We start from the raw sequence: 27,481 nt of genomic DNA, 5'->3' as shown, positions 1-27,481 counted from the left end.
GAATGCATTATCAGTGATGCATGACAAGATTTCTATAGGTGGCTGTTTGCTAAATTGTTAAGTCTATCTGGATGAAAGACTCAGTTAAAACAGGTTTTCATTAACATTATTCTTTTTTTAAAAAAAAATCCAGGGTCTCACTCTGTCACCCAGGCTGGAGTGCAGTGGCGCAATCATGGTTCACTGCAGCCTTGACCTCCTAGACTCAAGCGATCTTCCTCCCTTAGCCTCCCAAGTAGCTGGGACCACAGGCATGTGCCACCATGCCCAGTTAATTTTTTTAAGTTTTTTTTTTTTTTTTTGTAGACATGCGGGTCTCACTATGTTGCCCAGGCTAGTCTTCAACTCCTGGGCTCCAGGAATCCTCATGCCTTGATGTCCCAAAGTGTTGGGATTACAGGTGTGAGCCACTTATTCCAGGCTCTTAACTTTATTCTTAATTGTAGAAAAATAAGTGTCTTATGACTTACCAGCTGTTGAGACTTTTCAAATAACTTAAATATTGAACATAAATGAAATATATTTGAAGACCAAGAAAACCAGAAAGACAGACCTTATTTTAATATCCTAAAATCTTATTAATATTTTTGTTGGTGGAGAAAATTACCAAACATTGACCTTGCTCCATCTCTGTTCTGCCTCTCAACCTAGTCAGAGGCTCCCTTGCTCATCTTTCCCTGTAGGATGTGAGCCAGTTAAACGGTAGCAGCTTCCTGCCTTCCTCAGAAACACAATGAATGCTCTTTACCTTCTGAGTTTATCTGATGTCAGCCTTCCTAACTTGGATTATGACACTTTGCTACAAATCCTGCTGATAGTGTTTATTTTAATCCTAGACTTGTTTATTGCATTCTATTCCCAGTTTTGTTTTCCCTGTATCACAAGGAAATCCCTAATTGACTGTTCCTAATCCTCTCTAGACTGCTTTCTTACATTCCCTTCTACCTGAAAACTTACTATCTGAATCTGTCTTTATCTCCTTTACTCTCCCATTTCTCACCTAAAAAACAACAAAAAAAGGAATCTTCTACTTTAGGCTACTTCAGCCACCACGTGCTCTGAAACCCAACACCTCCCCTCTCCTCAAAAATGGATCCCTGACTCATCTGTTCTTTCTTATTTATTTATTTTACTTTAAGTTCCGGGATACATAGAACATGCAGGCTTGTTACATAAGTACACGTGTACCACGGTGGTTTGCTGCACCTATTGACCCGTCCTCTAAGTTCCCTCCCCTCACCCTCACCCCTGGTATGTGATGTTCCCCTCCCTGTGTCCATGTGTTCCCACTGTTCAACTCCCACTTATGAGTGAGAAAATGTGGTGTTTCGTTTTCTGTTTCTGTGTTAGTTTGCTGAGGATGACGGCTTCCAACTTCATCAATGTCCCTGCAAAGGACACGATCTCATTCCTTTTTATGGCTGCATCATCTGTTCTTTCTTTGCCACTCCCCTCCTACACTGGCTCTTTTCCCTTAGCATCTAAACATATTCAAATTGCTTCACTAGGAGGCCCTTCTAACGTCCCCTCCCATTCTTTCCTTCTCTATCATCCTCCCCTTCCTCCTAATAGATAGCTAACACTGATAGTGAATGGACTGTGCCACATACCTACTTGCTTTCCGTGTATACAACAAGACTATGAGATGGATTATTATTTATCTCCATCTTACAGCTAAGAAAAACTCTAACATGAAAAAAGTAACTTGCCTAAGGTAACACAACTAGCAAGTGAAAGGAGCAAGATATGAATCCATGGGGTTTGATTTCAGGGTCTGAGCTCTTAACCACTATGATACATATATATAGCCCCATATAGAGCTTCCATGAAAAGAGTTGCTTACATTTATCATTCCCTTTACACAACCATTCACTTTCTTAACCACAGCAATTTCTTTCCAAACCACTTAACTAAAATCTTTAAAAGGCCCACAGTAACTAATTGTCAAATTCAAGGGTCACATTTTAAGGCTCCTATGGCAGGACTTGACCACACTAAATGCTAACTCCATGAGCTCACTGGTCTGATTCACATCTGATCTCCATGGTTGTTATTTCTTAGTCTACTTAAGCACTGTCCAATAGAACTTTCTGTGATAATGGAAATGTTCTATTATATGTACTGGCCAATATGGTAGTCACTAACTACACGTGGCTACTGAACACTAGAAATGTGGTTAGTATGATTGAGGAATTGAATTTTTAATTTAATTTAATTTAATTTAAATTTAAAGAGCCACATGCAGTCAGTGTCCATCCTATTCGACAACAAAGGCATGGGCTCCTCTTCCTCTACCAGCCCTTTCAACACCTTAGAAGAGCTCCGTCCTTGGTCCTCTTGGCTGATTCCACTCTCCTCCCCGTAGCATTTCCCTGTTAAAGACTCTTACACCTCTCCTCAGGAACCTATCTCTATCTTCAATTGCCCACATCTTCACCTGCAAGCACCACAAGGCACCCCAAGTACAACATTTTCAGTGCTGAAATGTTTCATCATCTCATTGTCAAGTCTACTCCCCAACAGTACAGTTCCTACTCAGAGAATGCTACCACATCTCTCCCAGCCCCGAGGCAAATACAAGTATTCATTTTAAATTACTCCCTTTCCTTCCTTCAAAAAAAAAAAAAAAAAAAAAAAAAAAAAAAAAAAAAAAAAAAAAAAAAAAAAATTGACCCCTGGCTTCTATTGCCATTGCTCTATGCCAGGATGTTATATAATGGATCTAATTGAAAGAATAATGTAGTCTAGTTTTTGGCTTCAAGCAAGATGTAAAGTATAACATGGCTGGAAAATTCTTTTATACCAAAAATTCTTTAATATCTGTTAGGAAAAAAAATGAAAAAAGTAACATGAAATAAAACTAAGCTGCTCTCTAAGGGAGAAAATTATAGACAATCTCTAATAATCTGTACTGAAAACAGCATTTTAGAAACAAACCCTCTCTTTAATGTTCTCAATTTCTATTAGTAATGAACAAAAATGGATACTACCTTTAAAATTCTAAATTTGTTACTGGGTTACCTCATGGCAAAAAGATCAATTGCTTATTCAGTCATTTAACAAAAGTATAATCTTAATTCAGATGTCACTTCCTATTCGCACAGCTTCAGTAATTATAGCGCCCTTCTCCCCCTTGACCCCCACCCCTGACCTAAAGTTTTAAAATCCCCATGTGCACCAGTGGGCAGAGCCAGGGCAAGTTTCTCAATACGTACTGATCAGAATCTTGTAGAAGCCATATCCTGTAACTGACATCTATTAAATCAAACACTAGAGGGAGGTCTATCTTTCCTACAGGTGTTTGGTATTTGCTTCTAAACCACCAAGATCCTTCACTGAGCTCCTGAGGCTCTCTGGAAATGCTTCAGCCACTTTCAATGACCCACTAATTAAAAATTAGCTATAAAGGTACTCCAAACAAAATTAGTATTTCTACTCTCAGGCTTATAAGAGCAGCTTGGCCAGGGCAGAATGTAGTCTACACAATAAAATATGTAATAAATTTTAAAATAATAATAAAAGCAGTAAGAATATTAAAAATGGCCTCTGGATAAACGTAAGTTCAAAAGGAAAATAATCCTTAAGTGTCTGAAATTTGCAAATGCTCCATTCTGGTTTAACAAGAACTATATTGAGGTCTATTTTGAGGCTTTTCTGGAAAACACTGGTATTTTATCTGGAAATTATTTCCAAAACTAGTGCTGGTTCAAGGCATCAAGTTGTTAAATTACTATGAAGAATAGCAAGTCTATTCACTGGTACCCTGGTCTTTCAGGATTCTTTCTCTTCATCTTGGAGAAAATGATATCTGATCATGCTCTTTTATGAATATAAATGAGCATATAATGTCCTAATACCAGCCATAGCACTAGTAAATCCCAAAGAATTAATAACATCACTGGTTACTAGGAACTTTGGATGACAGTATTTTTGGAATACAAGCCCATAAATATTATTCCAAAAATACTATTGTATTTATGTATATTAGGTTACATTAACAAATTTCTTTTGACTTTTCATTTGCCTGAAATATAGTGATACTATCCTGGGGAAAAATCATTTTGATATGAACAGGAGACAGGGAAATACTGGGTAGAAGAGGGTGGTTCCCCAGCAAAGGCCCCACCCTCAAGCCTGGAAACCCATGGTCCTAAATGGGAACAGGTATTTCTGTTTTTGCGCCCAAAAGTTGCCTTTTGGCCTGCCATACCCCACTATCGTGGCTCCATATAACCCCCAGACCCCAGGCTCCAGAAGACATGAACAGTAGAGCAGAAGAACAGCAGAATGGTGTGGCAGAGAGAAGAGAAGGAATGTCTGAATGTTGAGAGGAATTCGACTGGGGGTGGTCAAAGAGGAAATCAGCTGCTGGATGGCCAAACTCTAGGGGAAGATCATCTTCCCATTCCATTCCCTTTCCAGCTCCCCATCCATCCCGCTAAGAGCCACCTCCACCGCTCAACAAAACCCCTGAATTCATCCTTCAAGTCCATGTGTGACCTGATTCTTCCTGGACGCCGCACAAGGACTTGGGTACCAAGAGGATCACTGAGCTAACACTTAAGCTGTCTGTAGATGGCAAGGCTAAAAGAGTGCACTGAAACATGTGCCCACTTGGGCTTTGGGAGTTGCAGACACCCACCCCTAGACACTATCATGTGGCCAGAGCCCAGAAAGTGCTTACCATAACTCCTGCACCTGCCAGTCTGTGTGCTTCCCTTCCTCTAAGAGGTTTGAGTGTGGGCAGCCAAACATATGAGCCACTCCCTGTCGCATGTCCTGCAAGGGGGGTCAGGGAACTCTCCCCTTTCAATTCAAATGAAAAAAGCAAGTGAAAAAGGACAGGATAGGGAAGCCTTGGATCTATCTATCATAATTCAGATGAAAAAAAGACAGTTAATTGACTGTAAATTCATTACAACAGATGAGTCAGCTGCTTTAAAACAACTTTTCACATTACAAAACAAGTATCAGAAAATCTGATTAAATATATTAACATTTATATTAAAATATATTTAAATATCCTTTTTACCTGCATTATAAAAATAATTATAATAAGCCAATGGTAAGTTTTCAAAGATAATAATAAGCAAAAGGTAATGGTAATGGCTGCAATGAAGTCTGAAGAATTGGAATACTGTCTAATTCTGTGAATGACTAAAAGATAAAAGATCTAGAAATCAGATGACATAATGGAAATCTTTTGAAGGAATTAGAGACATTTAGGACAGATTTCTTCCCCCATCTCAGCTTTGACTGTTTCTTCATGCTGAACATAAATTGCCTAGCATCATCATGATTTAAACCCTACCCAGCCTGTAAGATACAGTTTCAATTCCACCTTCTCCAAAGCCTTCTCTGATCCTCCCAGCTAGAAACACTTTTCCCCTACACTGAATTCTCATGGGTTCACATATACTTCTCATGAATCGTCTCAATTTCTGTTATATTACATTTTCATATATGTTTTCTCTATAAGATAAATTTATTGAGAACAAAATCAGTCTTTTATTCAACTTCACTGATGTTACTTAGTACTGTTATCTTGCGCATCGGAGACAAAAAGAAACAACAGGGCAGGCATGGTGGCTCATGCCTATAATCCCAGCAGGAGGCTGAGGCAGGTGGATCGCTTGATGCCAGGAGTTCAAGATCAGCATGGGCAACATGGTGAAACCCAGTTTCTATTAAAAACACAAAAATTAGCTGGGCGTGGGGGCGCACACCTGTAATCCCGGCTACTTGAGAGGCTGAGGCGGGAGAACTTCATGAATGCAGGAGGTGGAGGTTGCAGTGAGCCGAGATCGTGCCACTACACTCCAGCCTGGGCAACAGAGTGAGACTCTGTCTCCAAAAAAAAAAAAAAAAAGAAAAAAAGAAAAAAGAAACAACATAGCTCAAAGGGTAAAAGAATGGTTCTGGGCTGGGTGCAGTTGCTCACACCTCTAATCCCAGCACTTTGGGAAGCCAAGGTGGGCGGATCACCTGAGGTCAGGAGTTCGAGACCAGCCTGACCAACATGAAGAAACCCCATCTCTACTGAAAATACAAAATTAGTCAGGCATGGTGGTTGCATGCCTGTAATCCCAGCTACTTGGGAGGCTGAGGCAGGAGAATTGCTTGACCTCGGGAGGTGGAGGTTGCAGTGAGCCAGGATCGTGCCATTGCACTCCAGCCTGGGCAACGACAGTGAAATTCCATCTTAAAAAAAGAATGGTTCTGCTCCCCTTTATAGCTATCTGTGTGACCTTCATCAAGTGACTGAACCTCTCTGAGCCTCAACTTCCTTATTTATAAAAAGAGACCCTTATTTATAAAAAGAGAAAAATAATGTTTCATGAGGTTTTTATAAGGATTAAATGAGATAATCTATGTAAAATGTTTAAATCACCCAGTAAATACTTAATCAATGCTAGCCACTATCATCATATTCTAGTACAAATGATTATAACAAATTGTTTTATAATAAATTACTACTTTATAGTAAATTAATTTGTAATAAATTGTCAAATGAATGGAAAAGAGTTAAAATGTGACAATGACTTTCAGAAGAGCTTTAATTTCTTAAAAGATGACAAACTCCTAAGGACAAAATTCAAAAGAATGTAGAAAACAGAGTTGTAATACCAGAGAACAGATAACACTAGAAAGTACTGTGTTCTGTGTCAGTGCATGAACCCAGGCACAGGGCAGATAACCATCTGTCAGGAGTACTGATGAAAGAGGTCTGCCCTTTGAGTTAAAAGTGAGCAAAACTTTAATGTTTGTCCAATATTCCTTTTTCCCTCAATATTTCTTTACATCAAAATAGTTGATTTAGTTTTTTCCTACCAAACCTTGTAAAACTTCAAACAACTTCTTTACTTTTCCAACTATCATCTAAAATAGAGATGATCAGCTTTAATTTAGGAGAAAATCTTGTGGGAAAGCAGAACAACAGCCCATCAAAGATGGGCCTAATAATCATCCTAATTCCTGGAAGCTGTGAATTTGTTACCTGACACGGCAAAAGGTATTTTGCAAATCCAATGAAGTTCAGGATAGTAAGTGTTTAAAGAAAAGATGGGGACAGGAGAGTTAGAGAAGGAAATATGATGATGGAAGCAGGGTTGAGGGGAGGAGGGGGACAGGAAAGGGAGGGAAGGAAACAGATTTGACAATGCTATACATCTGGCTTTGAAGATGGAGGAAGGGGCCATAAGCCAAGGAGTGCAGGTGGTCTCTAGAAGCTGGAAAAGAGAAGGAAATGGACTTTCCATAGTACCTCCAGAAGAAATAAAGCACTTACAACACTCTCATTTTAGGACTCTGACCTCCCAAACTGTAAGATAATAAGTTTGTATTCTGTTTTACCCAGCAATTCTACTCCTAGGTATATAAACCAAAGAATTGAAAAACGGAACTCAAACAGATACTTGTACACCAAAGTTCACTGCAACATTACTCATAATAGCCAAACAGTAAAAACAATCCAGCTGCCCATTAACAAATGAATGCATAAACAAAATGTAGTATATACATACAATGGAATATCTTATAAAAAATAAAGTTCTGATACATGCTACAATACGGAATAATCTTGAGAACATAGAATAGACTTTACCAAAGGTGGAGGAGAGGGAAGAATGGGGAAATACCATCTTTCCAAAGGGAAGCATCCTTGTGCAAACAACTATGTTATAAAAAATATTACCACTCCCTTCTATCTCTTTCTTTTTTGGTGATAGTATACTATTTTGGCACAATAATCCAATGTTCCATTTTCTTCATTCCTGAGTTTGGACTGCTGATCTAGGCTACAGAAAGGTCATACAGTCGAACCCTGAACAACGGAGTCAAGGGTGTCGACCCCACAAACAGTTGAAAATCTGCATGTAACATCTGACTCCCACAAAACTCAAATACTAATAGCCTACTGTTGACCAGAAGCATTGCTGATAACATAAACAGTTGACTAAAACATATTTGTATATGTATTATATACTGTATTCTTACAGTAAAGTAAGCTAAAGAAAATCCTAAGTGAGAGAAAATATATTTACTATTCATTAAGTGGAAGTGGATCATCACAAAGATCTTCATCCTTGTCTTCATGCTGAGTAGGCTGAGAAGGAGGAACAGGAGGGGTCTTGCTGACTCAGAAATGGCAGAAGACAAAAAGCTGGAAGGGGAGGCAGGAGAGGCAGGCACACTTGGTGTAACTTTATGGAAATACACTGTAATTTCTGACTTTTTTGCTTTTTCATTTGTCTAAAAATGTTTCTATATGCTACCAATCCTTCTTCCACCATGTGCTTTAGTTTCAGTGCCCATATCATAAAAGGGTCCATGCTGTAAAAGAAGGCAAAAAGCAGTCTTTAATAGGATATAGATAGGGCTGTCCTGATCATAAACCCGATTGCATCTGCACAAAACAGTACTGTTAGCCTATTCCTTCCTGCCTTAAATCTTGGTGTGCTTTCATGTCTTTCCTTACTAATCAATGTCCTTTGTGGCATTTTTTCCCTCTCAGAATAGGGCGCTTTTGTCTGCATTAAAAACCTGTTCAGGCAGATATCCTTTCTCTTCAATGATTTTCCTTCTTTTGTCTTATCTTTTTTTTTTTTTTGCAGGGGGTGGGGTGAGGGTAGAGATGGGGTCCAGCTATGGTGCGGTTACAGGTGTGAGCCACCACAGACGGCCTTCACTGATTTTCTCCATGGCATCTGAGAACTTGAGGTCTGCTGCCTCTTCGTTGGCAGAAGCTGCTTCTTCCGTTATCCTGACATTTTTAAAGCCAAACATCTTTCTAAAATTATCAAACCATCCTTTGCTGGCATTAAATTCTCCAGCTTTAGATCCTTCACCTGCCTTTTAAGCTGTCGTATAACAACTGTGCTTCCTCTCAAATCACATTAGAGTCCAAAGGTATGTCTTTCTTATAGCAATCCTGCACCCACATAAAAGCTGCATTCTCTTTTTTCTTTCTTTTTTTTTTGAGACAAGGTCTCACTGTCACCCAGGCTGGAGTGCAGTGGCGTGATCTCAGCTCACTGTAGCCTCGACTGCCCAAGCTCAGGTGATTCTTCCACCTCTTCCCCCAAGCAGCTGGGAGTACAGGTGTGCACCACTACACCTAGCTTTTTTTTTTTTCTTTTGAGATGGAGTTTCGCTCTTGTTGCCCAGGCTGGAGTGCAATGGCCCAATCTCGGCTCACTGCAACCTCCACCTCCTGAGGTCAAGCAATTCTCCTACCTCAGCTTCCAGAGTAGCTGGGATTACAGCTATACCATGCCCGGCTAATTTTTTTGTATTTTTAGTAGAGATGGGGTTTCACCATGTTGGTCAGGCTGGTCTCAAACTCCTGACCTCAGGTGATCCGCCCACCTTGGCCTCCCAAAGTGCTGGGATTACAAGCATGAGCCATGGCGCCTGGCTTAGTTTTTTATATTTTTAGTAGAGGCAGGGTTTCACCATGTTGCCCATGCTGGTCTCGAACTCCTGGGCTTAAGCAATCTGCCCACCTCAACCTCCCAAAGTGCTGGGATTACAGGCATGAGCCACTGCACCAGGCCGGTATTTTCAATGAAATAAAAAGGTATTTAGCAAAAAGTTCAAGTTTTTCATGTCTGCTGGTGTAGCTGCAGTGAAGGCTTCATGAATTTCCTTTTCTTTTTTTTTAAATAATCGTCCTTACACTTAATTTATTTATCTTGAAATGGATGGCAACTATAACTGCAGACCTCAATCTATAGTATACATCAAGCAATTCAAATTTTTCCTATAACATTATGACTTGCCTCTGCTTTGGGGAACACTTCTGGCACCACCAGTGGTACTTCGTATAGGTCTTATGGCATTATTTAAGGTTTAGGTTATTGCACTAAACAGGATGCAAAATACTCAAGGACATAGAGAGATCACTTTTTACTGCAATACACAATTTACTGGATGAACTGTTCACTGTGACATGATTAGGGTCACATGGCATTTTAAATGGATACTCACAATACTTGAGATCATTGCAATAGCAACAAGAGGTGGTTACAAAATTATTACAGTAGTATAGTAGGTAATGCAGTTAATTTTATCCAATTACGATTTATACTGTATTGTTTACATTTGTTTCTATTTATCTAGACTGTGAATGGTGCCATGTATGTGATCGAGTGTGTGCGTAAGTTCTGATACATTTTAAGGTTTTATAATTTTAATACATTTGTGATATTTCATGGTAATAGATGATAAAATAGTATCTACATATAGTTTATGCATTCATTACATATCTTTTAATTTTTTTCAATATTTCTCAATATTTCACAGTTCATTTGTGAGTTTTTCCAAATTGTTGCAAATCTCAAAAAAATTCCAACATATTTAATGAAAAATATTTGCATATAAGTGGAGCCATGCAGCTCAAATCCATGTTATTCAATGATCAGCTGTATAACTAGGTTGGCTGGATAAGCTAACACATTTATTTTCTTTGAGACTGACCCTCAAAAGGCTCATCAATCCTTTTTATAAATCTACTTAACCTTGTAAGAGTATTTTAAAAATTACGACATAAAGTATATATAATAAAGTGGCTAGCCAGACACCTACAGTAAGAATTCAAAGAACAGTAGCTGCTGCCATTATTATTACTATTATCCCTGCCTTCCTCTCAGATGACCACCTCAACTACTTTAATGAGAAAAATGAAGCAATCTGATGTGAATGATTGCTCAGTTTTGCTTCTCCCTTCCATTTCAATTCTCTGTTACTGTATAATATTTGCTTCTTCTCCCCAGTTTTAGAGACATGGGGTAGTCTTTTTCATGTTCAGAGTCAACCCTTCATTCTGCACTTCTGATCCTAGACCTTCACCCCTACCTTGGTTCAATTAATTGTATTTCTTTCTCCACTCTCTTGCTCCCTGATGGGTCCTTCCACCTGACCTATAAACATACACAAATTTCTTCAAAGAAACACCTAATTAACACCACTATGGCACTTTTCTGTACCTCCTCTTGAATTATTTACCATAATCTATCCAGAATCAGTTATTTATCTGTCTTATCTCTTAATGAATTGTTAACTCCTTAAAGACTGAGGGTTATTTCATCTATTTGCATTGTACATCCTAATAACACTGATTATAGTACTTTACACATAGAACGGGCACTTACTGAATACATTTTTTAAAAACCTAAACTATAAATTTTCTGCAAACATAAAAGGACTATTTGACAAAAAGTGCATCATTTGATTTTGCCTCTCGAATCAATGACAGAAGGTATAGAATTAACGTATCAACACAATCTTAAAATAATTTTACAATATCATTCTCCTTAAAGTGTCACAAATCAAAATTATTACAATTGTAAACATTTCAGGAAAAAATGATCTACACAAACATATTCTGAATCCAGAAATTGTGAGGCTTCAGTTTTACTATAATGTTAAGCGTTCTTCCCCTTAAACATTTTACTTGCTTTCATAAACTACCAAAAAAAGAATAGTTAACTAACAACTCAAGAGTCTGAAGGCTCATTTGTTATATGCTTAAATAAAAATCAATTTGTAAGCATACAATTATCTAAATAAACTGTAATTTTATATCTAATATATCAAACATGGTAAGTAAATATGCAAGTCTGATAGGAACCAGTCTGCCACACATTCTATATTAAAACGAGGCAAGAAATTCACAAGACGGTTACAACAAGTGCTCCAGTCAGAACTTACCTTATACAGGTCTGGACATACACAATGTGTTGCTTAAATTTTCAGTTTTATTTTATTGCACTTCATGGGGAAACTTACATGTGGGCTGCGAATCCTAAACCTGACTTTATTTCCTGGCTGGTTTTGTGCCTCAATTTCCTATAATTTGAAATAATGGTATCTAACTTGTCAAAATAACTTAACTCGAAATCAGGTAATGCCCACAGAGTTCAAGACCAGCCGGCCAACATGGTGAAACCCTGTCTCTACTAAAAATACAAAAAATTAGCTGGGCATGGTGGCTGGCACCTGCAATCCCAGCTATTCCGGAGGCTGAGGCAGGAGAATCGCTTGAACCCAGGAGGCAGAGGTTGCAGTGAGCCGAGGTCGCACCATTGCACTCCCGCCTGGGAAACAAGAGCAAAATTCCATCTCAAAAAAAAAAAAAAAAAAAAAAAAAAGTGTTGTAGTTGCTCAATAAATGGTAACTGCTGAAACTGCTATTACAGTAGTAGCATTAAAGTAGATACAGGGATTTCCATGTAGTCTGATGTAATGGCTATTTTCAGTGTTTTCCAATCATTTGCTTATCTTCCCTTAGGGAAAAAAAAAGTATGTTTCTTCTTTGAAGCTGTTCTTTAGGCACAGGTGTCCTGCCCACTGCCCCACCCTCTAGTCTCTTAAGGGGATCAGCTGCCCTATTTCTCTCTGCAAACATTTCCCACACCTAAGCTAGGTGGCTGAAGCACCGGCACTGGCATAGGAACCAGTGCTGAACAAGAAAGAAAGATGGAGTCCAAACAGGGGACAGAGAAGTAACAAAAAGGAGACTGGCTGACAATTCAGACAGAATACAATGCTGCCCTTTCCCTTCTTAAGAGATACTACAGAAGTCTACTTGGCTAGCCTCAGTAAGAGTACTATGAAGTGTGTTAAATACAACAGGGGTGAACATGGAAGCCCCACAGCTCAGTTTCACATAAAGAGGTATGTACAGTTTAGAGATTAACATAAGCATCTCCAGGTATAGGAGAGTTTACAGCAAAAGACATACAGGCAGGAAAACTGCTACATTAGTCCAACTCAGCCATTTACCACAAATTAAGAGTGCCTCTCACTCTTACCATTGCCCATGGTTAAGCATTTTTAAAATGATAAGTCAAAAGGGATCCCTCTCTGCAAGCGAAAAACCTAGTTTTTAGAAGCAAGTACTTTCTGTTCATCCTTGCCCATAACTGTCTTCTTATTTGGTTTCATATTTTGATTTATACCTTTACCAGAAACCAGGGAAGTCCCTGTATCCTCTCTGGCAGATGATAAAGATACATAGTCTTACATCCTCTAAGCAATATACTGACTCAAGAGTATGAGCCGTGGAGACAAACCATCCTTTACAGATTTACCTTTCTCTCATGGGGCCTCAGTATTCTCATTTATATGATAATTTTCTCTTGATAAAAGGTTTAATGAAGTATAATTTTTTTAAATTACCAAATAAAAGAATGTATTAGAAATGGGTATGTGTCTATAACTACTTACTATCATAACTTTTAATATAATTTATAGCAAAGGTAGGGCAGATAAAATTTACTATTTTGATTAACATCTGTAAGAAAAAACATTTTACTGAATAGTTACTGTGTAGCTGGCATTTTGCTTAACATGCCACATATATCATCTCCTTTAATACTCACAATAACCTGAAATATATTATCCTCATTTTGTAATTGAATAAATTAAGTCTCAAAAAGATTGGGGAAATTGCCTAAAGTCACAAGCTAGTAAGTGGTAAACCCATATTTCATATCCAAAACTATCTGACCCAAAGGACAGTTTTCCTAACTTCTGCATAGTTTGTCTGATAGACAGAAGCAAAACAACGAAGCTGCCTGCAGAAGAAAGTTAAGTAATCTTAAACAAACATAATCCCTCCCAGTTCCTAAAGGACTGAATCATATTTGACAACTCAATACTCAAATTGGTCTGTATTTGCCAAATACAAGTCCTAGTTACATGGAAACTTTCTTCTTTGTGCTCTACTAGAGTTAATTAAAAAGCTAGATCAGAAAACTCTTACCTGTGTTGCCATCTCCACTCTCCATAGATGGTTTACTGGTTTCTGACGGATTGTTCATTCTTGAGTCTGCAATAAATCAGAGGAGAATAAGGTTTTTAAAAAACTGGGGATGGAGATGGGATTGAGGAGGCAAAACTGTGGCAGAGAAAAGGGTTAACTAATGTTATAGTCATATAGTTTAAGAAGACCCAGTGTATACATGTCTGGCTAAAATACTAGAAATTATAATAAAAGGTTATCTGGAAGAAATTCAAAATTCCCCAGACCCTGAAGGGATTCACAAATAAACTGTCTTTTTAAATAATTTTAAGATTCTTTAAAGAAAGACAGCAGAACTGTAACCTGAAGAAAATTAGAAAGCCTGATATGTAAAAGGAATAAATGCTTTTAACATGAAGTAAAACTGGAAAGGGGGGAAGCACCTCACATAATAAAATGTTATTCCCAAATAAAGTATCTTTTTCTATATGCAATGATATTCATTCATTATAACCAAAACAACCCACTGGTAATCTTGATAAAAGATGGGACAGTAACTCAACCTATGAACTAAAAGAAAACACGTCTAAGGTAAATTATCTCTAAATTTACTCCCCTCCCCAACCAAACTAAACAAGTCAAAGTGAGAACATATTAAATTCATACCTCAACTATAAACCAGCACAAGAAGTTGTACCGTAAGGCATAACAGATATAGCTAATAATTTCAAAACTGCATTACAACCACACCCACTTAAAGTAATACTACCTCAATATCCTAAATGAAACTGCTAATTTGAGTTTATCATTTCTGGGTTATCTACTTAATGAAGGTTTATTTCCACAGTAAAATGTTTTCATCAAGCAATATTAGGTATCCCAGAAAATACATTAAGAGAAGAGACAAGAACTCTGCTTTTCTTCTAAGTCTTTGAAAGGGTAAGAAACGGAATATACATAAATATATCTCTTATTCTACTACTGTAAACTCAAACTTAGAATATTTATGATCAAACAAGTTTACTGTCAAATAAGTTCTGCCTTTACCCACATTAACTTATTTAGTGGTTAAATAAGTTAAGAACCATTTAACTTTAGTTATTAACAGAGAACAAATATTTAAACTATACTGTTTTTGACCAAAGAGCACATTTTTTCATCTGCTTAAACATCTAACTAGAAAATCAAAACAATCACTAGACAGAATTCTCAACCATGTTCTTTACAGTCGAATTATCCCCATGCATAACAGATGAGAAAAAAAATCAGGAGTCTTTCTTTTATAAGTTTCATTTCCAACAAGAAGATGTGTAATAGCTTTTCCAATACAGTAAAAGTTTCTGTAACTGATGCTTGTCTTATGGGCTTAGGCAGTTCTGTCATAACTTTGGTTTGGTCTTCTAATGTTCAAAGGGTTAAAATTCATATGTTTGTGGTCATAAATGAGGGCAGTTCTACAACTTCCTTCTTCTCACTGTCCAGAGAAATTTAAATATCATCTGAAAGCATACTAAGGTTTGAAAGGAACAGGTGTACAACTTAGTGAAAAATCAGCTTTCTGAATGACAACCAAAATCTCATGAAAGTCAACAGAGATCACAACAAATGTAATAGAATATACCATTAGCATACATACTGCTCCATGCTTCCTTTAAATGAATTTTAAAGGAAAGTGGAAAAAATGATCAATCAGTTAACATTCATAAAAAGAGTAACAGTTTTCTCACATATGTGGGCACCGCAGAAATAAGCATAATTCTTAACAAGTCATGAGCCTGACTTTGTACAATTCATATTCTAATTTTCCCATCTATAAAGACTATGTCACAGGTATTTTAAGTGAATCATCTCAGATTCTTCTACTGAACTGTCAAGAGCTTCAAAAGCATTTAACAAAATTATCTCACATACACACAAAAATAAAACATTACTTCACATACACACAAAAATAAAATTGCACAATGGGAAGACTGTTTAAATAATACTTACTATTAACTGAAAGTAAGAGATGTAATTTCTACTTCTAAAATGATGTGTTAAAAATATTCCAAAAAGGTATTTTTCTTTCCTTTTTTTGAATTGTTAACTAAGTAAATGTCAAAGAGTAAATACAAGATTGAATTCCTGACATAAATTTGTTGTTTCTGTCATTCACTCTTTACATAGTGGCTTTTACTGTGCTGGGCAGATACTGCTACCCTGGGTTTAGGCCATGCCTTATGCATAAGAATTCAAACGTTTTCAGAAGTATCATTTTACTTTATCTTTGGCAACTATGAAGGTGACAGGAGCAGCTTTAATTTTCAAGTGCAGAAAATGACAATATAGGAAAAAAGTCATTTGCAAAAGTTTTAAATGTAAGATATCCAAGTCCCGGAGTTCATATCATTTAACTTTCCAGGTGACTAGAGTAACTAAAAAAGTCTCAATAATTCTGCATATAAACAGACATAACTCCACACAAAATATGACCACCATTAGCCACCATATATCTAAAAATCAAAGTGCCTTGATTTATTTGAAATCTTCATCACCAAAGATGGTTTTAACAAATTTAAGCTGGACATCTTCCACTCCAAAAGGCTTGCTGTTCTACAGAGAAAACTCTAAAAAGGTTTTCCAACATTTAAAGTTGTAGTTATCTAGAGTATATAGTTGATTTTAAAAAAATTAAAAAGAGGACTAATCCTAGCAAAAATTTGAAAAGTTAATAGTTTCTAAAATCTGGAAATCGATCAACAGATCTGTTGCAGCAACCAGTACAATTACCCTCTTTATTAACATTTATAAAAACTATTCTGCATTGTGACTCAACCTTATTTTTCACTGAGCATTTTGGTTTTTGTATAAGACGTTCTCATTAGGTATGAAAAACATTTTTATTAATATGTATATATTATATATGTACAGTTCTATGCCTTGTTTCAGATTTAAGATGTTTTTATAACTACATGAAATGTTCTCAATAGGAATTTCCAAAAAGCAAAAATATTCATTCGAGCTGAACTCTAAATTAACTGTATTTACTAACGATACCCTCTGAATCAGAAGAGCTAGTCACAGGGAGGGACCTACTGCAAATTCAAGTAAGCTTGTGCTTTGCAAATGCTTTCCTCCTTCCCTGCTCAGTCCAACTCTCCCCCTCCCCCGCCACAGGCTGCATATGCGATTAAGCATTTATGCATAGTCAACCCGACACACTCTATTTCCATATTAAAGCTTCTAAGAAAAGAACTGTGCTGGTACCCACCTAGAACATAGTCACTGCAGTCCAGCATTGCTGTGAAATCTTCTAGAGGAGCAGAGAGTCCAAACAAGGAAGAAACAGGTAGCAGTTTGGGGTGGGGAAAGAAGGTACTACTATTTCTAACAAATCTACAGTATGTTCTTAAGCGAAAAGAGGGGGGTTGCGTAGGGTGGAAAGTGGATTAAGGGGAAAAGCAAAATACAACTTCTGTTACACCATAGCAATCTTCAACTGAATAAGGAAACTTCAGTTGCTCAGAGGAGTTTTAGTCTCTCCTACCAGCTAGGACTGACATTGTCAAGGCAACTGAAGCATGAAAAAGTTCCTCTTTTTGTAATAAAATAGAAACAAAGATTGCAGCTGGCAGTTTCCATAATGAAGCTTAATCAGTATGCGCGTGATTAGGGCCTTATGCAAATCTCTCCTCGTTAGCACAGCAGCCAGCACTTTGAAGTCCATGAACAATTCATTTACAGAATATACTGAAAGCACTCCCTGCATAATTTAAATCGTTGCATAAATATTTATCAGGCTATTTGCATATTAATTGGCAGTGCATGAAGGGAAAAATTATCTCCTGAGTGCCAGCATAATAATTAGGAGGATAAAATGAGACTTCTTCCAATGGCCTGGCTTCTTGGACCTAACTGGAGATAGTACCAAGGGAGAAGGGAGGTACAGGAGACAGAGTTCTGTTAAAATGCCACTGAAATGACACGTACAAATTAGAAACAACCCTACAGACTTAAGCACCTTTAATCTTATTCCTGCTGGCAACAATGACTTCAGTAATAAGAGGATTTGCAAAAAGCTTTCTACACAATCCAAATAATCCCAAGGAAACAATTAGCAAGGTAGAAGCAGAACACAAGGCTGTCAAGATGGTGCTAGTCTACTGATAGGGAATTTTCCAATTCTTAACACACTTCCGTCAAGAGAAAGTCCCACTTTAAAACGAGGCAACAGTAAACCCAGAAGCAGTGCAAGGTGTATAAAGTATCTTAAAGAGTATAGAAATTCATTATCTACAAATCTTTTTATATTACCAAATTAACAGAATAGATTAGTTGAATGCTACATATTATGCAGTATCCTTCCCCCATGAAAATAAATCTCAAGTAGAAAGAAGACAGTTTGTTACTTAGAATCTCTATTGTCAAAGGGTGGGCCATGTAAATTGTGGAATTACTTGGTATTCTCAAGTATATTTCACTTAATGAACATACATACATATATATAATCCTTACTAAACTATATGTTTATTCAATTTAAAGTATATTTACAAGGTAAGTCATCAACCCAAAATTTTTTAGGCATTACAATGACAACAGCCTAATCATCACAGACAATTCAGGAGATTTATAAAATCTCCATGGAGTAATAAGCATTATTACCCCTTTCTTTCCTTATATATTATTAAAGTAAGGAAACTGAGGCACAGAGAACTAAAACACTTTATCCAATGTCACACTAGTAATTCGGAATCAGGATTTAAAACTAGAATTTTCTGATATCAGAATCTGTGCTCTTGGCTATTCCTATGCATTATGGATGAGTTAAACACGTAGGGAATTGCTGAGAGGTGGTAAAGCAGCAGACTGAATGGTTTGTTTTCCGTGTAGTGAAGAAACCAGTAAACGGCAGCAAAGACATTGTGTTTAAAAGTCAGGTGTGTACAGATACACAGAAGAGTGCACTAGATTTGAGGAGAGTTCTGAAAGGTGTCAGCCCATTAATAACTGTTTTTATTTAGAACTAGTCTTCAGGAAATGAAAGACAGATTTTAACAAGGGGCCTTTAAAAAGATTCCCTTGCAAGTCAGTAGAGGACCAAAAACCTTAAACTTTTGGATCAGCACTCTGCATTACCAGTTTTTCTGTTTTACTGAATCACAAAATGCTTATGAGGAGAGACTTTGGGGGAGAAACTTAACACAGCCATTTAATACCTGTAATACCTGTTTAAGTTCCTTCCTTCTTCGAGCCTTAATTTTATCACCTATAAAATGATGATATCCCTTTCATGAGGTTATTGTGAGATAAATGCTTTCATGCTTCTCAGACAAGAGCGTGGACTGGAGGAATGTGATGCAGTTGTGCCAGGGCAGACATCAAGTCACTGGATAAACATGTCCATCTTTTGAAAGCATCAATCTTATTTAATATTTCACACCACTTTGTATTAAAATAAGAATACATTATAGAAGAGAACACAAATTTCAAATGAGTTTTTAAGGTAGAATATGTTGGATTATACAAATTCTCCTTGGTGAGAAAAGATGAAAAGCAATGATGAATGTGACTAGATTACAGTAGATATCAATAAATGTTTATTTCCCTCCTCTTCCGCCTTTACGAAATTTAAAATTTATTATTTGCATTTATTATGGGATATTTCTGCAACTTACCATCTGCCCTTTTCTACTTTATGTAATAACATCTCTAAACTACCTTTCTACTGTGAGTGTGGTCTTTCATATATTAGCTAAGGATGACTTGCAGCCAGACAATCATTGCTAACAAAGGAGTGTGTCTGTACCCAACAGGAGCAGCACCTTCCTAGTGAAAGAGCCTCCTCCTCAGGCTAAGGGAGTCCCACAAGACCTGTAGCAGGGAGGCTATAGTTTACCAGCCCACACAGGCTACTATCTAGAGTGGGACCCCCCGCTTCCCCTCTACTGCAAAGCTCACCCAGAAAAAAAAGCTCACATTGCTACAGTGGGAAGGAAAGGCAAGAAAAGTCCCTTTCTACCACCCTTGACCTAGGTACCCTACTAATTTTAGAGGGGAAGTTTAAATACCAGGAGTTTGTCCAAGCCTCTACAGATGGATTGGGAGAGGGACTGTCACCGTCTCTTGCCTGTACTCCCCAACCATGGCACATTTATGTCCAAAAGAAGAAAATGACAGCTTTTCCCACAAAGTTCAAATGTCCATTTCACTTGGTCATCTGTCTGAAATAATAGCAAAGAATCAATTAGACTAAAACTTAACCTAGAAAGAACACCCGTTGTACAAAGGAAAATCATTTTTGAGAGGTTTGTGGGATTGTCAGTCATTCACACTTGAGCATGAATTAATCCAATCCCACTGCTTTCATTTAACACCTAGTTGAGGAGTTGATTGTAAGGCAATGGTTGTTTCTACTAGAGAAGAGGCCAATAAATGATAAAATAACTGATGTTTAGAGGACCTGGATTGGGGGTGGGGTAATGTGGGCAAAGGGTTCATAGAAGGTAGTAATAATAGGAAATAGTAGTAACATATGGAAGTATAAAAAGGAGCTGAAAGGGCAAATTCAAACTCATGTATTTCACAATTACGCCTAAAATGTAGCCTTTTTTTATTTTCTAAAAGAGGGGACAAACGCTCTTCCAGGACCCAGAATTCACGGTTAACACTACTAGTTTTTTTTTTTTTTTTGAGATGGAGTTTGCTCTTTTGCCCATGCTGGAGTGCAGTGGCACAATCTCAGCTTGCTACAACCTCTGCCTTCTAGTTTCAAGCGATTCTCCTGCCTCAGCCTCCCAAGTAGCTGGGATTACAGGCGCCTGCCACCAAGTCAGGCTAATTTTTGTATTTTTAGTAGAGACGGGTTTCACCATGTTGGCCAGGCTGGTCTCGAACTCCTGACCTCGTGATTCGCCCACCTTGGCCTCCCAAAGTGCTGGGATTACAGGCATGAGCCACCATGCCCAGCCGACACTACTAGTATTAAAATATTTTTATATTCATGATCTTATGGGCCAGTGTAGGTATCATTAGAAATGAAATTGAGGGCAATGACAACTAAATCACAAACTAGTGTTTTAAAACACACCTTTTATGTGAGAGTGAACTGAGATCGGCCTATATTCTACCTTACTAAATCATTAACATCCAGCCTGGTCATGTTCTATATGAATAGCCATTTGTACCCTCTATTCTGTACTGACCATATAACTAGTTGAACAAGCAGAAATGTCTGACTCAACAATTATTGCCTGTTACCTCCTTTCTATATCATGGGGGGTGTCTGCATCTTTTAGCACCACTGGTTTCACCCCAGCCAATCTCAACAGTACACCAATATCCTTTCCAACCTTCATCTCTTTTCCAATCTACCAATAATTTAGTGTCCTATTAACTTACTTACAGAAAACACTTAATGATATTTCAATTCTCTGTAATAAAAATACTTAGTACCTCAAGCATTATCAATAATTATTTACAAAAAAAGTCCAACAAACCCATCACACACATACAAACTAAAATAATTTTACTAATGCCCACCAAATATGAAACAACATTCCAGGACTTGAAAATTTGAGACTCAGAATCAAGTGATAGGTATTGGCACTGCCACCATTCTTGTCAACTACATCACAGACTATGTAAATGATACCCTCTAAGGTTGCATTATGGGGCTCTCAGTGTCCCCTCCCCCCACCAAAAATCTTTTAGAATAACTTAACGGAATGTCTATCATTTACTAAAAATCTAGATGGGCAGATACCATGAAAGACATGTACTTTATCAACGTGGCTATTAAGCACTGCCAAATAACAAGCAATCTGAAGGATAATCTTACTTCATAAAAAGTAAACTGAGGCCTAGTTAATGACCCTTAGGGTCACATAGCTACTAAACAGAGAGCCGAGGTATGGTGGGGGTTGGGGACTCAGGCACAATATGGAGGGCATGAGAGGAAGACAAGTAAAATAAAATATGTAAAAATTCTTATCCCATGAGACTGAGATCAGTAGTTGGTTGGCTGAACAAAATGGTCAACCTAAGTATCATAAACACAAGTACATAATGATTGTATTTTAACCCAAAGCATATAAATACACATTCATTCACCAATTTTTTTGGGCCAAAGCCTTTTGAGTTTGGATAAAAAACTCAAAAGATTTTTACGTTTTTCACTGAAAGTCACATTTTACATTGTACATATATGTATAGACTAAATACTAAAAACTCAAGAAAAGTTCCATAGAACAATGCTTCTTTCCAGGTATAAATGTATTGCGATGTGTTCTAGACTTCAACCTATTAAATTGACTTCATGTCTCATAGATTAAAAAACACTGCTTTAAAAGTGGGGCAAGAATTATATGACACATGAGGCAATCTGAGTCCATAATGCTTTTCTATTTTTTTAGAATAATTTATCCCTACTATTTTATAGCTCTCTTGCACACATCTAATTCAGTATTTTTTAGTAATTACCCTTTATCAAATCTTTCCAAAGCATTTAACTTAATTTTCACAGAAACATCATCTTTCTTTTTCTATTCTTTTCCTTGGTTTATATAGTTATTTAAATTGTGTAATTAGGCTGGGTGCGGTGACTAATGCCTGTAATCCCAACACTTTGGGAGTCCTAGGTAGGTGGATCACCTGAGCTCTGGAGTTCGAGATTAGCCTGGCCAACATGGTGAAACCCTATCTCTACTAAAAATGCAAAAATTAGCTAGGCGTGATGGCATGCGCCTATAGTCCCAACTACTCAGTAGGCTGAGGCATGAGAATTGCTTGAACCCAGGAGGCGGAGGTTGCATTGAGCCGAGATCGCGTGACTGCACTCCTGCCTGGGTGACAGAGAGAAACTCCATCTGTAAATAAATAAATAAATAAATAGTGTGATTAAAATTAGTACAACTAGCATGAACAGTATTGGGAGCACAAACAAGTAAATGGTTCTTAATAACTTTACAACTCAACTGGTAGACATACCATGGAATAAGTCTTCAGCATGCTATAGGGAATCAGATAGTGCATCAAACAGGAATGGGCTGTCAGTTAATCTCATCAAGTCATTTAAGTGGTGGCTCACTGAGAAAGCTACTCCACCAGAAAGCGGTTTGAAATGACATGTTTCTGGTCTCTTTTAACCTGTGCTATATTACATTTTTACAGCTATATACATAGCTCATCTACTGTTCACTCTAACAATCTGGCATTCTTTAAAACTAAATCTATTACAAAATCCAATCCTGAATTTCTTGGTTGTAAAAGCTTAAATCTTTGTGTAGCTCTATTAAAGTTTTACCATTTCACTAAACTTATCTGTCTAGCCTATCCTACATGATCCTATCTTACCATACTGTTTCTTTACTTCTATAACTGTCTTTCTTTCATTCTAGTTTAAAGTGTTTTGCCAAGTCACTGATTTCAATCATTAATGGATTCCACAAGTATTTACTAAGTGCTTTCAGGCACAGGCATAGGAATTGGGAAGACAAGAACGTGTTGAGGATAGGCCCCCAAATCTGGCCATAGACAGGCCCCCAAAATGGCCATAAACAAAATCTCTGCAGCACTGTGACATGCTCATGATGGCTACGACGCCCATGCTGAAGGTTGTTGGTTTACCGGAATGACGGCAAGGAACACTTGGCTCACCCAGTGTGGAAAACCGCTTAAGGTGTTCCTGAACCACAAACAATAGTATGAGTGATCTGTGCCTTAAGGACATGTTCCTGCTGCAGATAACCAGCCAGAGCCCATCTCTTTGTTTCCCGTTTTAATCTAAATCTATAAAAACAATGCTTATGACTGGCTTACTGTCAATAAATATGTGGGTAAAGCTTTGTTTGTGGCTCTCAGCTCTGAAGGCTGTCAGCCCTGATTCCCACTCTGCACTCTATATTTCTGTGTGTCTTTAATTCCTCTAGCGCCACTGGGTTAGGGTCTCCATGACCGACCTGGTCTCGGCAAGTAGCGCCCAAACCGGGGCATTTCTGGCTCAGGCCATTCCCTCACCCCTGTACAATGCCTGTCCCCCGCCACAGCCGGTAGTGCTGCAGTAGATTTATGCTGCCCAAAAGCTGTGAGCCTTCTGCCTGGGGAACCCCCACAAAAAGTGCCAACAGGAATCTGTCAACCCTTGCCAGTGAGGATGGTAGGATTACTTCTAGGTATGTCTAGTTTAAATTTAAAAGGAGTGCAAGTACGTACAGAAGTCATAGATTCAGATTACAATGGGGAAATTCAAATTGTTATATCTACTTCTGTTCCCTGGAAAGCAGAGCCAGGAGAGCATATAGCATAGCTCCTGATTGTGTCATATATGGAGATGGGGAAAAGTGAAACTACACGAACAGGAGGATTTGGAAGCACAAATAAGGCAAAGCAACTTATTGGGTGAATCAAATTACTGATAAATGTCCTACCTGTGAAATAACTATTCAGGGTAAAGAATTTAAAGGTTTGGTAGATACAGGAATGGACATTTCAATCATTTCTCTACAGCACTGGCCGTCCACGTGGCCAATTCAATCTGCTCAATTTAACATAGTTGGAGTTGGTAAAGCCTCTGAAGTATATCAAAGTAGTTATATTTTGCATTGTGAAGGGCCCAATGGACAACCTGGGACTATCCAACCAGTTATAACTTCTGTACCTATAAATTTATTGGGGAGAGATTTATTACAGCAATGGGGAGCACAAGTTCTAATTCCAGAACAATTATATAGCCCTCAAAGTCAACATATGATGCAGGAAATGGGGTATGTCCCTGGTATGGGACTAGGAAAAAATCTGCAAGGTTTGAAGGAACCACTTCAAGTAGAAAGACAAAGTTCCTGCCAAGGTTTAGGGTATCATTTTTGATGGTGGCCATTGTTAAGCTTCCAGAACCTATATGTTTAAAATGGTTAACAGATAAGCCAATTTGGATAGAACAATGGCTGCTAAGTAAAGAGAAACTGGAGGCTTTAGAGGACTTAGTAACTGAACAATTAGAAAAAGGACACATAGCTCCAACATTTTCCTCCAGAATTCTCCAGTCTTTGTTATTAAGAAAAAATGAGGTAAATGGAGAATGTTGACAGATCTTAGGGCCATTAATTCAGTTATACAACCTATGGGGGCATTACAGCCAGGATTGCCTTCTCCTGCTATGATTCCAAAAAATTCACCTTTAATAGTCATAGATTTAAAAGACTGTTTCTTTACTATCCCCTCAGCTGAGCAGGACTGTGAACAGTTTGCATTTACAATTCCTGCGGTAAACAACCTGTAGCCTGCTAAGTGTTTTTATAGGAAAGTGTTGCCACAAGGCATGTTAAACAGTCCAACAATTTGCCAGACTTATGTAAGGCAAGCAATTGAACCTACTCGTAAAAAATTTTCCCAGTGTTACATTATTCATTATATGGATGATATACTTTGTGCTGCCCCCACTCGAGAAATATTACTTCAATGTTATGATCACTTGCAAAATTCGATTTTTCATGCTGGTTTAATTATAGCTCCTGACAAAATTCAGACTACTACTCTTTACCCCTACTTGGGGACCTTAGTAAATGACACTACCATTGTGCCACAGAAAGTAACCATACATAGCGATCAATTGAAAACATTAAATGACTTTCAAAAATTACTAGGGGACATTAATTGGACATGACCTGCTCTAGGCATTCCTACCTATGCCATGAGTAATCTATTTTCTATCCTTTGAGGAGATCCTAGTCTCACTAACCCTCAGCAATTAACAAAGGAGGCTGAGGCAGAGTTACAGCTAATTGAGAAGCAAGCGTATAAGGCTCAAATAAATAGAATAGATCCAGAGAAGACTCTAGATTTGCTAATTTTTTCAACTCAGCATTCACCTACTGGTGTTATTGTTCAAGAGCAACATCTTGTAAAGTGGCTTTTTCTTCCACAAACTAATTCACGGACTTTGACTGCTTATTTGGATCAAATTGCTACTATGCTAGGAAATGGGAGAACTAAGATTGTTAAATTACATGGATATGATCCTGGAAAAATTATTGTCCCTCTTACAAAGGCAGAAATACAACAGGCTTTTACAAATAGTCTTACTTGGCAAACTCACTTAGCTGACTTTGTAGGTATTCTCTATAACCATTTTCCTAAAACGAAAACTGTTTCAATTTTTGAAAATAACTAATTAGATTCTCCCTAAAACAACTAAATTTAAACCAATTGAAGGTGCTGAAAATGTCTTCACAGATGGGTCTAGTAATGGTAAAGCTTCTTATTCTGGCTTGAAAGGTAAAGTTTTCCAGACGCCCTATACTTCAGCTCAAAAAGCAAAACTTGTAGCTGTAATTGAGGTATTGACTGCTTTTGATATGCCTATTAATGTGATTTCTGATTCTTCATATGTGGTTCATTCTACACAGTTAGTTGAAAATGCTCAGCTACGATTCCAAACAGATGAGCAGCTGACGACTTTACTTACCCAATTGCAAACAGCAGTTAGGAGTAGAATGCACCCTATTTACATCAACTCACATTAGGGCTCATATACCTCTTCCAGGACCTTTGACTGCAGGGAATCAAATGGCTGATTGCCTAGTTGCTACTGCAATATCTAATGCCAGACACTTTTACAATTTAACCCATGTTAATGCCTCTGGTCTCAAATGCAGATACAGCATTACCTGGAAAGAAGCTAAAGCTATTACCAAGTGATGCCCAACTTGCCAAATGGTGCATTCCTCATCTTTTACAGGAGGAGTTAATCCTCGAGGATTGGAACCTAATTCTCTTTGGCAAATGGATGTCACCACCCATATTCCCTCGTTTGGGAGACTAGCTTATGTGCACGTATGTGTAGATACATTTTCTCACTTTGTCTGGGCTACATGCCAATCAGGAGAGTCTTCTGCTTGTGTTAAATGTCACCTTTTGCAGTGTTTTGCAGTGATGGGCATTCCAGTTTCTATTAAAAGGGACAATGCCCCAGGCTATACTAGCCAAGCTCTAGCTACATTTTTCTCTCTATGGAATATTAAACACATTACTGGTATCCCATGTAATTCTCAAGGACAAGCCATAGTGGAAAGAATGAATCTCTAACTGAAACAGCAGTTGCAAAAGCAAAAGGGGGGAAACAGGAACTACGGGACACCACATATGCAACTGAATCTAGCATTACTGACTTTAAATTTTTTGAGCCTGCCTAAAGCCCAGATGTTATCAGCAGCTAAACAGCATCTACAGAAACCAGCTGCAAAGACAGAAGCAAAACAACTGGTTTGGTGGAGAGATCCGACAACAAAAAGTTGGGAAACAGGTAAAATAATAAGTTGGGGTAGAGGTTATGCTTGTGTTTCTCCAGGCCAAAACCAGCAGCCTATCTGGATACCATCAAGACACCTGAAACCTTACTATGAGCCAGATACCCAGGAAGAGGTTTTGGGAGGATCCCAAAAACCCCCTGGTTGCAGCCATGTCAAGAATGACACTGAGGAGGACCTCAACTGTCATGAGCAACACCCGTCAAATACAGCCACCTACCTGGGGACAGATCAAGAAGCTGTCACAGATGATGGAAGAAAACCTGAGGAAAGCAGGACAACCAGTCACAATGAGTAATCAATCTAATGATAGCTATGATAGCGGTGATCACCAATACCGTGAGTATTCCCTTAGCAAAGGCTGACACAGAGAACAATTATACTTATTGGGCATATTTACCTTTTCTACCACTTCTATGGCCTGTAACTTGGCTGGACCCCCCCAGTGGAGGTATAC

The 27,481-nt window shown here is 37.9% G+C and overlaps 1 protein-coding gene across 13 annotated transcripts in view, besides 1 other annotated feature; it reads right to left on the bottom strand.

The window, feature by feature from the left end:
• Positions 1–27,481, bottom strand: part of POU2F1 (POU class 2 homeobox 1) — a 206,461-nt gene that overhangs the window by 81,045 nt on the left and 97,935 nt on the right. For 8 of the 13 annotated variants that reach the window (NR_037163.2, XM_011509655.2, XM_011509653.2 and 5 more), the window contains one exon: positions 13,766–13,831. Coding sequence is in view for 12 of the 13 variants with exons in the window: in XM_011509655.2 (XP_011507957.1) it covers positions 13,766–13,831 (66 nt within the window). In the remaining variant the exon portion in view is untranslated. Of the gene's footprint in view, positions 1–8,042; positions 8,332–13,765; positions 13,832–16,994; positions 17,232–19,791; positions 27,223–27,244; positions 27,269–27,481 lie in introns of those variants that run through there. The other 5 variants (NM_001365848.1, NM_001365849.1, XM_011509654.4 and 2 more) reach the window with 4 other exon arrangements.
• Positions 16,492–18,584: an enhancer, noted in NCBI's record as "VISTA enhancer hs1331". NCBI's record gives its function as "enhancer in: neural tube[4/7] | hindbrain (rhombencephalon)[4/7] | midbrain (mesencephalon)[5/7] | forebrain[7/7]" and the evidence as "EXISTENCE:transgenic organism evidence [ECO:0001131][PMID:17130149]".

The sequence above is a fragment of the Homo sapiens genome, chromosome 1, assembly GCF_000001405.40.
Source record: "Homo sapiens chromosome 1, GRCh38.p14 Primary Assembly".
NCBI lineage: Eukaryota > Metazoa > Chordata > Mammalia > Primates > Hominidae > Homo > Homo sapiens.
Note: the sequence above shows the minus strand (reverse complement) of the source record. Positions and strands in the feature narration are given on the sequence as shown.